The 16,100-nt window shown below is 47.0% G+C and overlaps 3 pseudogenes across 2 annotated transcripts in view; 2 read left to right on the top strand and 1 right to left on the bottom strand.

The window, feature by feature from the left end:
- The window catches only part of BMS1P1 (BMS1 pseudogene 1), a 25,257-nt pseudogene extending 24,367 nt beyond the window's left edge, over nucleotides 1-890 (bottom strand). The window contains exon 1 of the transcript NR_003611.2: nucleotides 728-890. The product of NR_003611.2 is annotated as a BMS1 pseudogene 1 (transcript). The remainder of the gene's footprint in view (nucleotides 1-727) is intronic.
- GLUD1P2 (glutamate dehydrogenase 1 pseudogene 2) overlaps nucleotides 853-16,100 on the top strand; it is a 27,748-nt pseudogene continuing 12,500 nt past the window's right edge. The window contains exons 1-3 of the transcript NR_111968.1: nucleotides 853-915; nucleotides 10,790-10,870; nucleotides 15,139-15,194. The product of NR_111968.1 is annotated as a glutamate dehydrogenase 1 pseudogene 2 (transcript). The remainder of the gene's footprint in view (nucleotides 916-10,789; nucleotides 10,871-15,138; nucleotides 15,195-16,100) is intronic.
- On the top strand, nucleotides 11,218-14,923 carry DUSP8P2 (dual specificity phosphatase 8 pseudogene 2; annotated as a pseudogene).

Here is a 16,100-nt window from a genome sequence, read left to right as displayed (position 1 = left end):
AAATCTGACAGCTTGATTGAGAAAAAGCGGGGCAGGGTGCCATTTCATTCAGTTAAGGTCCTGTATTCATTCCGTTTAATAAACGTTTGTGTCTGTCTATGATGTGCTAGCCACTGTGCCAGAAAATGGATATAGCTATGGTCTGATTGACAGAGGAAATCCAAACTAGTATCTTCCGTGCCATGCAATAAGAGCTACATTGCAAGGCTGCAGAGGGTGCTACTGGAGCACAGAAGTGAGTCAAAGGCTTCCCACAGACACACACACGAGCGGAAACAAAGTCTTTATATATCACCATATGTCAAGGAACACTGGCCGGGAGTTAGGAGAGCTGGGCACTAGGAACGCTTTGAAACTGAATAGCTGTGTGATTTCAGAGGTTATATTGCTTGTCTACTATATTTTACTGCCGAACTTGTACTGTTTCTCTCCCTTTTCTTCTTGGTGGGAAAAGCACAATTTGGGGTCAACAGATTCGGCTCAGGTCTAAGTCGCCTGCCGGGACCACGTCGCCAGGAAACGACGTCTCCCCGACACCTTCCCTCCCAGTCCGGGCTCTCTGCAGGGATTCATCCCGTCACTCTCCCAACGACCCTCGGGCACACCTCAGGCAGATGCGAAATATGCCGCTCCTGGGGAGCAAAGATGACCCGGAGGACCGGGGGAGTACCTTCCCACGCGCACGACTCGCGATCTTCCCAGCCTACCCCAGCCCGCGGCACCTAACCTGTTCACAACTGCGACTCCTTAGGTCCGCTTGGACACCGCCGGAAACGGAAATTCACCCTCGCGCCGACTCGCCGGAGGTAAACAAAAAGGCAGAAAAAAAGGGACCGCCGCCTGGACGACTTGCAGGGGACAGCTGGAAGAAAGACTCGTCAACGGCCGAGTGCTGGCGCCGGCGCCGTCTGCGCAGTGCGTTCCACCGGGTCCGCGTCCCTCCCGATTCAGCCCCACCCCGCCCTCGGAATCCGCTGCCTCAGCTCCTGCTGTGGCACTCCCCAGCAGCTTGCACCTCGCTCGCGGAGTCCTTGCTGAAGGCCAGGGCAGCTGTGCGGCCTGGCGCGGGTTACTTGATGCCGTGCAAAAGCCAGGAGACACATTTGGTTCTGGCCGCCCCGGAGTCACCGTGCCCGGGGCGAATGGACTATGGCTGGATTGGGAGTCCACTTCCTCCTCTGTAAAGATGACAGACGAGGGAGATCTCACGTTCTGGGGGTGCCCTATAGCCCTCTTTTGGCCAGAAGCGGTGGATCACGCCTGTAATCCCAGCCCTTTGGGAGGCCGAGGCAGGAGGATTGCTTGAGCCCAGGAGTTCAAGACCAATCTGGGCAACATAGGGAGGCTACGTCTCTCAAAAAATAAATAAATACATAAATAAATAAAAATAAAGCCAGCGTCGTGGCGGGGCGCCTGTGGTCCCTGTGGTCCCAGCTACTCTGGAGGCTGAGGCGGGACGATCGCTTGAGCCTGGGAGGCAGAAGTTGTAGTGAGCTGAGATCGAGCCACTGCACTCCAGCCTGGGCGACAGAGCAAGACACTGTCTCAAAGAAAAATAAATAAATAAAATAAGGCCCTCTTTTTCCGGGACCAACAGACTCTGAGGGCAGGGACAAACTGACCCAGCCTAAACTGCCTCGCCTTCCCTGCTCCCGGGAAAGGGGTTTTCCCTGAGGGAAGGTAGCATCTTGCCATTTTCTTCCTGCACAGCTTTGCCTTCCCAGGGATCCACCCATTGCCACCTGAGGAAATGCCTTGGAGCCCATCTAATCCCCAGCCCAGCTACTTGGGACGCCTACAGAGACTACATTGTCAGAGGATGCATCTTCCTCTAGTCTTGGAGGGTTTCTTTTCAATATGATCCCACCGGTGCATGCAAGGCTCAATTCTACATCAAAAAACTAGGCCCACTCCTGTCGCCGAGACCCCCAGGCTTCAGGTCCTGTCACAGTGACCTTGTTATCACCCCCAGCAGCCCCCAGGTATTCACTCTGCGTAGGCTATATACTGGGTGCTGCACTAGGGAGGCTACCTACGTGGCGCATGCTTCCCTTATCCCTGAAGAGCTTAGGATGTTGTAACTTCTTCACACTAGGCCTCTTACTTCTTGGAGATGTCAGTATCTGGGTAAATAATCCTTCTAACATCCTTTTGGTCTCATGAAGCCCATTCTTGTCCTCTGCCCTACCTCAGCTTCCCCCTCCCTCCATGATCAGACCTTAGACCTTGTCAGGTCCAAGGACTGCAACCCTCACAGTATCCCACTCTGACCACCACCTCCTATCTAGAGCAATGGAGAGACTTTGTAGGTGAAAGCTGTCTTTGCTACTGGTTCTCCTATGCTCCCTCGCCTGGCTCCTGCAGGCGGTTGACTTCACCAGGGACACAGTGGCCAGTGCCCAGCAGGTCCCACTCCTCTCACCAGCTCCAGGCAGTTTTATTGTAGAGTAACTCTTCTGAGACACTGCTCCTTTCCCCAGCACCTAAGGAAGTATTTCTAGTAAGTTCCAGTGGTATAGCATCGGTGACTCTCCTGACAAGCAGAGGGCCATGGCTGGGTTCCTCTGATGAGGTGCAGGGGCAGGGCACTAAGAGGGGAGGACTCTCCTGAGTTCTCTACCTGAGCCCTAGACTAGTAGCTGCTCCTCCTATACTTCCTACTAGTCTGTGCCTGGTTACTCCACTTCCCTGTTGCAATTAACAATTCCCTATGTACACTTTTCCTGTTCAAATGACTGTGTGGCTTCTCTTTCCTAATCGGACTCTGACCAATACGCTATCATTTGCCAACAACTCCCAAAGTTTTATCAGTGACTCAGACCTCTAACCTGAACTCCAGCTGCCTCCATGAGATATCCATTTGGATGTTTAATGGACATTTCCAAAGTGATATGCCCTACAGAACTCAGAATCTTCCCTCTCAAACCAACTGCTCAGCAGTCTTATGATCTTAGTTGATGGCAATTCAGAAGTGAATTGCAGGACACCCGGTTTGTATCTGCAGAGAGAACTGGAGAACTGCTTAGTGTGGAAAACCCACACATTTTGTTTCAGAAGTGTGTGAGTAGAAACAGTTTTCCTTTTATGTTTGTTGGATGGATAATGATGAACCTAGCAGGACACAGAAAGCTAGGCAGCAGTGGAACTGAGAATGAAGTTATAGTTAATAGCAGAGAATGAAAAAGAAAAGACAGATAAAACATTTTGAAGAAAGGACAGTAATGTATTCCCAACAGGTAGGATTTACAGGATGGAGAGAAGAGGCAAAGATAACTACAAAATTTCTAGCCTGAGAGACTGGTAGAAAAAAATGGTGGTATCAGGAACAGACAGGGGTTATTAAGAAAAAGGATTGGATTTTTAAAATAAAGAAGATCTGGTGTAAAATTATCCTCAGGAAAACTGGAAAACTAGGCATGTACTTCTCTCCATCATGCCCTTGCACAGTGCAGTCCTTCTGCCTGTCCATGCCTCGCCTCCCCCTCCCTAGGATTCCTCTTCCTCTCTTAAGACCCATCTCAAATATCACCTAGACTTGTAAGTAATTTACATGAAACTGGATACCTGAGGTATCCCTTTGAAAGTTTTTAATAACAAGTTACTGTTATCTTTTACTAAGTCCAACTTTATATTCGCCATTTTAACTAGCATCATTTCTGTTTCCAAGAGGTATTTGGTGTGAAAGTGCAACTAAGTTTACTGTTAATCAAGATCAGAATAAAAGAATCTACCAAAAAAATTAACAAGATCCCCCTTTTAATGCATAATCTTTCATCCATCAGGCTGTAAGTTAAATACCTAACATAAAAGAAAGCTGTATGTTTTATGGATATGTACATATATAACTGCAGGGAATATGATTTGGAAGGATGTACACTTAGAGAAGACTGGAGTCACAAGTGGTAGTCAAGGGAGTCTTCAGATTTCTTTTTGTATTTCAATTTTGACAGAAATACATACATATGTATTATAATTTTAAATTTTTAATGAAAAAAAGTATTTTTCCTTTTTTTTCTTGATCTGTCACTACATTATATTTTTCCAATATCAGCTAAACATTTGCTTCCCAGAAAGCTTAGTTGTCTTTTCAAAATTTATTCAGGTTAAAATAAAAGATTTAGACAATGAATTAAAAATCTAAGATGGTATTTGCCTACTTTATACAGAACAGTACATTGATGCTGCTAAAGCAATTAAAGTATAATTTTTCTTTTTTTTTTTTTTTTTTTTTTTGAGATGGAGTCTCACTCTGTCACCCAGGCTGAAGTGCAGTGGTGCAATCTCAGCTCATTGCAACCTCTGTCTCCTGGGTTCAAGCAATTCTCCTGCCTCAGCCTCCCCAGTAGCTGGGATTACAGGCGTGCACCACCACGCCCAGCTAATTTTTTTGTATGTTTAGTAGAGACAGGGTTTCACCATGTTGGCCAGGCTGGTCTCGAACTCCTGACCTCAAATGATCTGCCCGCCTCAGCCTCCCAAAGTGCTGGGATTACAGGCATGAGCCACCACACCCAGCCTAAAGTGTGTACTTTTTCTTAGCTCCTATATGCAGTGCTCCTTCCCCATACTGAATGTCTGAATTTTTATCTGAGACATAGTATTTCAGATGGTCATTACTTACGGGTGGTCATTAATAGTTCCTCCCTGCTTCTAACCTTCCTCTCCTCATTTTAAATTAAGTTACGCTACATTATTGTGGATTAGAAAGTACATTAATATTAAGTGAAAAAATATGATCTGATGAGTAAGTGGCAAGAGTGTTAACGTATGAATATTAAGAGTTGTTCTGAGGCCTTTTTGCTTTTCTGGGGGTTCTGTGCTTGTGGTAGAACTCTTGGTTATTTTATAAATAGTTCCTGAAAAGTGAGAGAGTACAGCTGGAAATCAGATTTCTGATGAATAAATCAAACCCTATTAAGAGAAACAGGTTCAAGTAATTTTAAAACCATTTGAATTTTCATAAATGTTTTGTTAATGATTAATTATAAAAAAAAACAGTGACTCTAGCTGGAGGCTTTTGTGTGTTTGCTTTTGAGTCAGCTAGGAAAAGGAAGAAAAATTCAAGCTTAGTCAATTGTGGTTTTCACTGAATCTTTTTTAAAGTAATGAGCTGGTTTGTTTTCTTCATCACTATAGCAACTTAAGCTAGTTTTTGCTTTTGATTTTTATTTCTCCTAGAGAAACTTAGCATGCACTGCTCATTAGACTTGAGCATACTAAGGAATATCTGTGGTAATTAAGTTAAAAATCAGATCAGTGCTTTGTGCTGTGTATAGTTGCAGATGTCTGCATTTCACTAATATTCTTTGGAAACATCTGGATACCAGTTAACATAAAATAACTGTTTAGTTGGTTTCTGTTCAGAATAGAAGGAATGACTTAAAAGTTCCCATTGTAGTACATACGTCATTCTATCCCTAGCCCTTCCTCCAGCTTTACTGAGATTGATAAATAATAAACATCATGGGTGGTGTGTCTTTAGTTTCCTCTGGTGAGCTGGATGCACAGATTACTTTGTCAGCAGGGTGGTCTTGATTTTTAGGCCATGTGTCTAATGGCATCAGCTCTGTGGCCGACACCTGTGTACCAAGCCCATTCACTATCTAGCTTAGCCAGCCGTGGACTCCTGCTCTTTGTTAAAAGTATTTACCTTCATTCCTACTAGCACAGTTGACCAAAGACCCAGTTGATCCCAAACACTAGTAATGCATCAATGGAGTCTAACAGAGTTTTAAGATGTGTGTGTGTGTTTGGGGGTGGGGGGTGTAGAGATGGGATCTCACTATTGTTGTCCAGGCTGGTCTTGCACACCTGAGCTCAAGTTCTCCTGCCTCAGCCTCCCAATGTGCTAGGACTACAGGCATGAGCCACCATGCCTAACCCTCTAAGACTTTGGGATACAAAAACATAATTTACTTTCCTTCATTTCTGGAATAAAACATCTCTTCTTCCTCCCCCTACTTTCTGTTCTGTGCCCCTGTTTGATCTCTGTTGGTCCTGTTCACCTTCAGCCTTCTCTGCTGAAGGAGGAAAGGCTTGGTTTTATAAAAAGTGACAATATTCAGACCACATAAGATCCTTCTTGCTTCATTTTGGATTAAATATTTTAAGATTTTCTGATTTTCTTGTATGCATATGTATTTACCTATTATTTGACTTTATTGAATAACTTCAAATTGAGTATATTTGAATGGGAATGGGCATTAAAAAGTGCTAAGCTTTCCCTGCCTTTCAGAACTTTGTATGTATATGTCACATCATTTTGTCCTTCACATTCTCCAGTTGTGCTAATTTTTCCCAATCCATTAAGTAGAGTACCTTCCTTTTTGGAGTCTTACTTTTTTTTTTTTTTTTTTGAGGCAGAGTCTCAAACCGTCGCCCAGGCTGGAATGCAGTAGTGCAATCTCAGCTCACTGTAACCTCCGCCTTAGCCTCGTGAGTAGCTAGGAAATACAGGAGCATGCCACCACACCCAGCTAATTTTTGTATTCTTAGTAAAGATGGGGGTTTCACCATGTTGGCCAAGCTGGTCTCGAACTCCTGACCTCAAGTGATCTGCCCAGCTCGGCCTCCCAAAGTGCTGGGATTATAGGCGTGAGCCACCACATCCGGCCTCCTTACTTAAATATCTTAATGTGCCTTAGAATGTAGTTAAGAATTTTCAGGTGACAGTATATTTTTGATAGTTATCTTTGGTTTCCAAACCCAGAGAAGGAAGAGTAACTGGCTTTTTCTCTGTGTGGGTACATTGTGTCTTATTGGAGATTGTTTTGTCTCAAGTATCGCTGCAGACTATTTTATTAATGGGTGCAACTTTAAAATTTTTTTTTTTTTCAGATTAACGGTTTAGGTATCCCAGTACTCGGTATTTGCCAATTTCTAGAATTAAAAACATGTGTGTATCACTGGTTAACTAGAAATTTAAAATGAAAATGTTTCTTCTTTAGCCCAGGCAATATCACTTGCATTCACTTCTATCCCCTCCTTGTCCCTACTCTGTTGGCTCCAGGGCTTCTTCCACTAAGCTGGTACTTTCTTTATACCTCCTGTACTTCCATTCACTGAACCTTTATTGGTTCATAGCCTACAGAAAATGCCTGTGGTGTGAGAGGTAATTTGTGAAACTGCTTCTCTTCACTGTTTAGCAGGTTGAGCTCTCTAAATGGGTGTAGCTGGGAAAGAAAATTTAACTTTACAAACAAGAATTCCTGGGTTCCATCCAGCGGAACATGTCTTTTGTTATACACACACAGTTTCTGACTCATATCATTCCATGACTTATGATAAAATGGACATTCTGTTTACACTGTTGTGTGGAAGCAGGGGTCTGGTTCCTAATTTTTAGTAACATCTATTTCTAGAATATTAGGCTTGCCATTTGAATGCTTCTGTTTGATTTATGAATATCATTGGTTCCAGCAGTTTTTAGCTCCCTGCTAAATGCAAGTTAAAATTTTTAAGTTTCTAAGTTAAAAGAAAGTAACTTTTCCTCCACTTAAGAAAGCAAGGAAAATTAAAAATAATGTAGTGATGACTTCCACAGGCTCTAAAAGAGCAATGAAAAAAGTGATTTATGTGTGGGAGAAGAAATACTAGTTCTTAATTAATACATTGTTTTACCACTTCCCGTGAATTTATGTAGAAGTAATGAAACCAAGGTTTAAGTCATTTGTTCAAACTCCTGTCAGTTTAGACTTTTTAATTGCTTTGTTACATGCCATTGCTTTGTAATACTTGTTATAGCAGTGGTAACAGTTGAGATTTGCCTGTTTGACCACTTGCAGGGCACCGTGCCAGATTCCCCATGTGCAATGTTCCTCGCAGTTGTGACGCCCATCGTAGGAGGGCGGCGTTAGCACCCCTCCATGCAAGCGGATGGTGCAGGCTGGGTCGCCTGGGCACAGCGCCTGACTATTTTCCTGGCTTAGTGTAGTTATCATTAAATATGTGGTATTACTTAGAAGCATTTTGAATAATTTGAAAAGCACATTTTAGTGTTGAAACAATTTTTTTTTGAGAAAAGGTCTGGCTCTGTTGCTGGGGTGGAGTGCAGTGACCTGAGCGTAGCTCACTGCAGCCTGCAACTCCTGGGCTCAAGCGATTCTCCTGCCCCAGCCTCCTGAGCATCTGGGACTACGGGCACATGCCCCCACACCCAACTCAATTTTTTTTAAGATACAAAGGATTCATCTTAATATTATTTACAATTTTTTTTTCCTTTTCTGTGGGCCTCATCTGACTGGAAAGCCTTTCAATTTTTTTATTTTTTAAATTGTAAATTGACAAATTGTAGATGTATATTTATGAGGTACAAAGTAATTTTATGATTTATGAATACAACATTACATAATTAAGTCAAGCTGATTAACCTGTTCACCACTGGAAACAATTGCAAATAATTATCATTTTTTCTGGTGAGAACATCTGAAATTTACTCAGTGATTTTGAAATGTGCAGTACTTTTTGTTGTTGTTGTAGAAATGAGGTCTCACTATGTTGGCCAGGCTGGTTTCAAACTCCTGAGCTCAAGTGATCCTCCCACCTCAGCCTTCCAGTGTTGGGATTACAAGCGTGAACTACCATGTTGGGCCAAATGTGTAATCTATTATTATTTACTGTATTCACCATGCTGTGCAATTTATCTCCAAGAAATGTATTCCTCCTGTCTAATTGAGGCTTTGTGCCCTTTGACCATCATCTCCCCGTCACCCCCATCCCCAATGTTGTATACTGAGTCCTTTCATGATATGTATGGAGGCTTATGGTAAGTTATTTAAAAGTACATGTATGTCAAAATTTTTTGTGGCCATAGCTTTTCTTTCTTTTTAAAATTTTAAGAGTCAGAATATTCGTATATTAATTCAGCATGTATTTGAGTGCCTAATGTATGCCATTTTCTATGTTAGGAACCAGGAATTAAAGCAGTGAACATAACAAAGTCTGCCCTCGTGGTGCTAACTTGCCAGGTAGGGAAGCCAGATACTAAACACATGTATAATGCAAAGTCAGTAATAATAAACGATATGAAGAAACAAGTAAGGTAGGAGAGGCAGGAAAGTGGGAGTGAGAAAGAGGTGCTCTTTTAAATACAGTGGTCAGGGAGAGCCTCTCAGAATGAAGTTTTTAACAGAGACCTGAATGAGATGGGGGAGTCAGCTATACAGATATCTGCTGTGTGCTAGAAAAATTACCTGTAATTTTGCATTCTAAAAGTTTAATGAGTACATTTATTTCACAATTTGAGAATCAATTATATACAAGATATAGTTGTAAGCACATACTCCCCTAAATATAATTTGTTTTTACAGTAGACCAAATAAGTATGTTCAGCTTAGAATATGCTCTTTATGATCTGTATAATAAATACATTCTCTTAAAATATTATTAATATTAAGGTTGATGTTTTCAGAAACATATAAAAAAGCTAGCTTTTAAAATTGACTAGGGAAGTTCTCTCAAACTGCCAGTCCCTGAGATATTGTATATTTTCTATCTGAAAAACTTTTATTCTCAGAATTCTTTAAAAGAGCTGTCCCTGAGGCTCCCATTACTTACCTGTGACTCCCAGTGGAAATCGTACCCAGCCCCTCGAGAGGGGCTGAATCTGTTGAGAGTGGGAGGGTAGAAAAAATGCTGCAGCTTCTTGTGGGTAAACTTCACACACAAACACCCAGTGCCCCAAGCACTGTGCAGTCAAACATCAACCCTGCTCAGACTTTCCTCCTTGGGATTGAGAAGCAATGGATTATAGAGAAAGAAAGGTGGCTTAGCACTCCAAAACTTGGAAGGGTAATTGACCAAGACCCCCCAAAGCCAAAGCAGTGGGCATCCCCACTTTCTGTATACCCTATACCAACACGTAATGGCTACTAGATACAGGGGCACTAGTACCTGTCTGCTTGGCTACCTCCCCTTCTTGCAGAAGTGGTGAAGGGAATCACTCAACCTCAGGAAGGGAAAATGGCTTTCTCATCTTCAAATTGAAAGAGGTTGGCAGTGGGTGAGGAGAATAACAAGTAAGGATCTCTTTCAATATACCCATTTGAAGCCAAAACCTCTGTTTAGACATACGGTATTTTGAACCTGGTGACTATTCATTGCCCATGTTTGTGAATTATCAGAAAGCAGAATTCTTGCCAGGCATAGCGGCTCATCCCTGTAATCCCAGCACTTTGGGAAGCCAAGGTGGGAGGATCACTTGAGCCCAGGAGTTTGAGACCAGCCTGGGCAACATGGTGAGATCTTGACTCTACAAAAAATTCAAACATTAGCTGGGCATGGTGGCATGCACTTGTGGTCCCAGCTACTCAGGAGGCTGAGGTGGGAGGATTACCTGAGCCCAGGAGGTTGAAGCTACAGTAAGCAGTGTCTGTGCCACTACGCTCAGCCTGAGCAACAGAGCAAGACCCTGTTTCCCACCCCTACCCACCCCCTAAAAAAGCAAGCTGAATTCTTGAACTCCCTGCAACCAGGTCACGCAAACCAAAGGTAAAAGGAACATAAAAAAGCCTTCTGGAAAGTGTACAGAAATTCATTGCAGGGTGATTTTTGTCTTGTGAAATCATAGTTACTGTTATTAGCAGCTTTTTTAAATGTTTTATATTCATTTTTTATGGTGTTCTGATGTATGAGCTGCTTCAAGTGTTTTTGGACATAGCTTGGGTATAAAATGTAAAAAGTGGATATTTTCAATTTGTAGCTTTCTTTTTTGAAACTTACTGAAATTTGTTCTAAATATATCTCCTTCTTTCTCACCCACCCCAACACATTTTTTAAAAAACACCACCAGGTATCCGTTATAGCACTGATGTGAGTGTAGATGAAGTAAAAGCTTTGGCTTCTCTGATGACATACAAGTGTGCAGTGGTTGGTAGGTGATCGCTTTTCTTGCTACCTAATGAGAACTCTGGGGAAATATGTTTACACACATGTTACTGTTAAGATGCTATAGAAATATACCTTATCAGAACTGATTTTTTTTTAAGTTGTACTCTTTAAGACCTGCATCATTTTTCAATTACTCTAAATTAAGATATAGCCTTTTTTTACGGGAGGGATTTTTTTTACGGGAGGGAGCTAATTGGATTTTAAGTCTAGATCTTTGTTTTCAATTCCTCAACATATTCTATAAATAAGACCAAATTATAGTAGAAGGAGAGTAAATAAGCTATTATCTTTTTAAAGTGGTGAAGAGCACTGATTAAATATATATTAGAGCCCCAGCCCCCGCCCCAGCTGCGCGGGCCCCCGCCTGGCCCATGGACTGCACAGCCGAGCGGGCGCCTTGAGCGCGGTGCGGGTCCTCGGAGCACCCCCGAGGTGAGCGCAAGCAAGGTCCGGCATCATGTGCTAGGTTATTCCCAGTGCGAGGCCACACTTGGGCCGTCGGAGCAGCCCCTCCTCACTTCAGGGGTCACCCTCCCCAAGACCCATTGCCCCATCATGGCCGGGGACCGGCTCCCCAGGAAGGTGATGGACGCCAAGAAGCTGGCCAGCCTGCTGCGGGGCGGGCCTGGGGGGGCCTGGTCATCGACAGTCACTCCTTCCTGGAGTACAACAGCTGGCATGTGCTCAGCTCCGTCAACATCTGCTGCTCCAAGCTGGTGAAGTGGCGGTTGCAGAAGGGCAAGGTGACCATTGTGGAGTTCATCCAGCCGGCTGCACGCAGCCAGGTGGAGGCCACTGAGCCACAGGACGTGGTGGTCTATGACCAGAGCACGCGGCCGCAGACAGCTTCCTCTCCATCCTGCTGAGCAAGCTGGATGGCTGCTTCCACAGCGTGGCCGGCTGCTTCCACAGCATGGCCATCATCACGGGGGGCTTCGCCACCTTCTCCTCCTGCTTCCCCGACCTCTGCGAGGGCGAGCCTGCTGCCCTGCTACCCATGAGCCTCTCCCAGTCCTGCCTGCTCGTGCCCAGCGTGGGCCTGACCCTCATCCTGCCTCACCTCTACCTGGGCTCGCAGGAAGACGTCCTGAACAAGGATCTGATGACGCAGAATGGAATAAGCTACGTCCTCTATGCCAGCAACTCCTGCCCCAAGCCTGACTTCATCTACCAGAGCCACTTCTTGCAGGTCCCCATCAACGACAACTACTGTGAAAAGCTGCTGCCCTGGCTGGACAAGTCCATCGAGTTCATCGATAAAGCCAAGCTGTCCAGCTGCCAAGTCATCGTCCACCATCTGGCCGGCATCTCCTGCTGTGCCACTATCGCCATCGCCTACATCATGAAGACCATGGGCATGTCCTCCGAAGACGCCTACAGGTTTGTGAAGGACCAGCGCCCGTCCATCTCGCCCAACTTCAACTTCCTGGGCCAGCTGCTGGAGTACCAGAGCAGCCCGAAGCTGCTGGCCGCCGTGCAGGGCGACGCGGGCACCCCCTCAGGAATGCAGGAGCCTCCCCCCAGCCCTGCGGCCGGGGCCCCACTGCCATGGCTGCCACCACCTACCTCAGAGACCGCTGCCACCAGGAGTGCGGCTGCCAGGGAGGGCGGCCCGAGCGCGGGCAGGAAGCCCCCGGCGCCCCCCACGGCCACCAGCACGCTGCAGCAGGGCCTGCGCAGCCTGCGCCTCTCCTCGGACCACCTGCAGGACACCAGCCGCCTCAAGCCCTCCTTCTCTCTGGACATCAAGTCGGCCTACGCCCCCAGCAGGCGGCCCGGCGGCCCGGGCCCAGCGACCCCGGCGAGGCCCCGAAGCTCTCTGAAAGCTGGACAGCCAGTCGGGGCCATGCTGGGCCTGCCCTCGCCCTGCCCGGACGCCGCGCCCAGGCACACCCACGGCCCGGCGCGCTATCCCGCGCGCGGCCTGAACTTCGGCTACGCGGCTGCCGGGCCCTGGCCAGCCGGCCAGCCCCGGAGCCTGGACGCCACCGCTCGACTCCCTGGAGCGTCCTCGGTGCTTCAGCCCCGAGGGCGTGCAAGGGCCGGGCAGGGTGCTGTTTGCGCCCTTCGGCCGGGCGGGCGCCCCGGAACCCAACGGCTGCAGCGACCTGCCACGGCGGGAGGCAGCAACGGCTGAGCCCGGGACGCGCGGACCAGCTGGTCAGACGAGCTGGCCCCGGATTCGCACTTCAAGTGCTGCAGCTGCCAGATGGAGTTCGAGGAGGGCATGGTGGAGGGGCGCGCGCGCAGCGAGGAGCTGGCCGCCCTGGGCAAGCAGGGGAGCTTCTCGGGCAGCGTGGAGGTCATCGAGATGTCCTGACCCCTCCGCTGCCCTCGGCTCCGCCGCCCGCAGCTGGGCAGTTATAAATATATATTATATATAATGCAAAGAAAGGCAAATGGTTTTACTGCGATTTTTATCCAGAAGTAAATATTTCGATTTTTTATTTATTTAAGCTGTTCATTCTGGCACTGATTTGGCAACAGTGCGGGCGGTCCTCGAGCTCTATTTTTACTGTCTGGTATTTAAACCGAAACACGCGTTTCTAAGCAATAAGAGGCCACCTTCAGTCGCAAGTTGCAGGCCAGGCCTGGGGCCCCTCCCTGTTCCCCCGCCCCAGGAAACACTGCTGACATTTGCAGAGGCTGCCGAGCTTTCGTGAACTTTTTACACAAGAGAAAGTTGAAAAAAAAAAAAACTTTCTTGCCACAAACCGAGCCGCAGAAACACCCTTCTTCCCCCACCCACCGCCCCTGCTCTCTCCCTTCGGGCTCCGCCCCAAAGCCATAGGCTGGGGGAGCAGGACCTGGTGTGCCCCAGAGAGGTGCGGCCAGCCCTCCACCAGCTCTAGGCACCAAATCTTGGTGGCAGGGAGGGCACCCCGCTGCCCGTTGCCCCAGAGCTGTTCCCTCTCAGGGGAGGACATGCATTGGGCCCCATGGTGCCAGGGCGTTGAGAGGGGCTGAGGAATAGAACAGTGTGTGTAGGGGCTTGGGGCAGGGGGTTCTGGAGGGTCAGATGAGGCAGAGCCCAGGGGAGGATGGGGGTGTTATTAATGCCCCAACTCCTGCCAGAGCCCCAGTCCAGCCACTGAGTGCCTCAGAAAGGCCATTCCCAGAGGGCTGCGGCCCTCCCTTCTCCTTTGCCCCTGCCCCCAGAGCTACCTGACTGGCAGGGCGGCACTACTGCAGGAGAGGAGCTTGGCCTCCGGGGGTCAGGCAGGAGGGGGGCCTGGCTAGCCTGTGCTGGCTCCACTGGGCGGGGAGCCCTGGACCGCCAGGTATGAGGAGGGGGTGGGCTTAGGGTCCTGTTCCAGGTCCGTCCCCCACCTAGCAAGGCCCCAGGCAGGACTTGGAAACCAGGTGTGCACCTGCAGGCTGAGGGGCTCCATGAGCAGGTGCTGCCTCGCACAGGGAGTTCAGGCGCCAGCCAAGCCCCTGTGCTTCTGGGGTAGGCCTGCTTCACTTAGGGAGCGCTGCCTCAAGGCAGATAAAGCCCCCTTGTTGACCCGACCTGCATGGGGGCCTCTCAGGAGAGAAACTCTCGTGCGCCCCTTTCCCAGGGCGCCCTCTTTCTAGACAGCATTCCAGCCCCCAAACACAGGTGGCTTTTGGGCCCAGATGGGTCAGCCTGCTGCTCCTGGCCCATACCCTCTCAGGCCGTTGGGACTCCTGCCCTTCAGATGTCCTAGGGTCTAGGAGTGGGCCAGTCACCCTGGGAAGAGGCCAGGGGCTTGGCAGGAGGGGCGGCCCAGGCGGGACCCAGTCCTGAGTCCTGGAGCAGGGCCAGGGAGGCGCCCGCCCCACCCCAGCCAGCCGCCTTCTCTGCTGTTTCTTCTATTTGTTCTTCTTTTCACCCACAGCCTTGTGTTCCTGTCATCCCTCCTTTCAGCAAAAGTCCTGTTCCCGTTCCCTCTGTCCCCACCCACTCCTGTTCCCCAAGAAAATAAGCTATCATTGTTGCATTTGCAATCTATGGATTAGAGGTTTAAGTATTTATTATTATTGGTTAATTATTATTATGTTTTATATATATATATTAGAACTTGGCTAGCCAATTTTATTGAACAATTCCTGTTCAATAAATGTTGTTTAAAGTACAGTTGAGAAAACGATGGTAGGTTTATTTCTTGAACTTTCAGAAATTCAAGCTTAAAGCATCACACGTTTTTCTAATATCATGTGGCGCTTTCTGTCATTTTACTTTTTTAACCTTTATATGGAATAGCAACCATCAACCTTCTCTTTCAGATGTGCCGTTTGGGGGTGCTAAAGCTGGTGTTAAGATCTATCCCAAGAACTATACCGTAAGTATGAAAGTTTTTGTTTTTGTTTTTGTTTTTGTTTTTGCTTTTTTGACACAGAGTCTTGCTCTGTCGCCCAGGCTGGAGTGCAACGGTGCGATCTCGGCTCACTGCAACCTCCGCCTCCTGGGTTCAGGCGATTCTCCTTGATCCAGTAACTGGGATTACAGGTGCATGCCACCATGCCTGACTAATTTTTGTATTTTTAGTAGAGAGGGGGTTTCACCATGTTGGCCAGGCTGGTCTTGAACTACTGACCGCAGGTGATCTGCCCACCTTGGCCTCCCAGAGTGCTGGGATTACAGGCATGAGCCACCGCACCCGGCCTCAAAGTGATATTTGTGCACACAGTGCATTTATGAAGGACTTGAAATTACTGGGCTTCTCTGTATCCCCCATATCAGTGAAATCAATAGTCCCCATTGCTTTTCAAATGGAATGAAAAAAGTAAAGAATTAACTCATTGAGTGTTTTGCCATATAAAGGTCACCTACTTAATATCTATATCCTTTATCATTTTCTGTTTTGTTTGGTTTTGTTTTTATGAGTCTTGTTTTTTTTTTTTTTTGCTTTTTGTATTATTATTTTCTTATTTAAAAGGTAATTAATATCTTCATATTATTAGACACCTATACCCATATTTAAGAAGTACTGTGATCTGGCTGGGTGCGGTGGCTCACGCCTGTAATCCCAGCACTTTGGGAGGCCAAGGCAGGCGGATCACGAGGTCAGGAGATCGAGACCATCCTGGTTAACACAGTGAAACCCCGTCTCTACTAAAAATACGAAAAATTAGTCCGGCGTGTTGGTGGGTGCCTGTAGTCCCAGCTACTCAGGAGACTGAGGCAGGAGAATGGAGTAAACCCGGGAGGTGGAGTTTGCAGTGAGCCGAGATCATGCCACTGCACT

This window comes from Homo sapiens, chromosome 10 (genome assembly GCF_000001405.40).
Source record: "Homo sapiens chromosome 10, GRCh38.p14 Primary Assembly".
In the NCBI taxonomy this organism is placed as follows: Eukaryota; Metazoa; Chordata; class Mammalia; order Primates; family Hominidae; genus Homo; species Homo sapiens.
The sequence above is the reverse complement of the archived record's forward strand: the minus strand, read 5'-3'. Positions and strand labels throughout refer to the sequence as shown.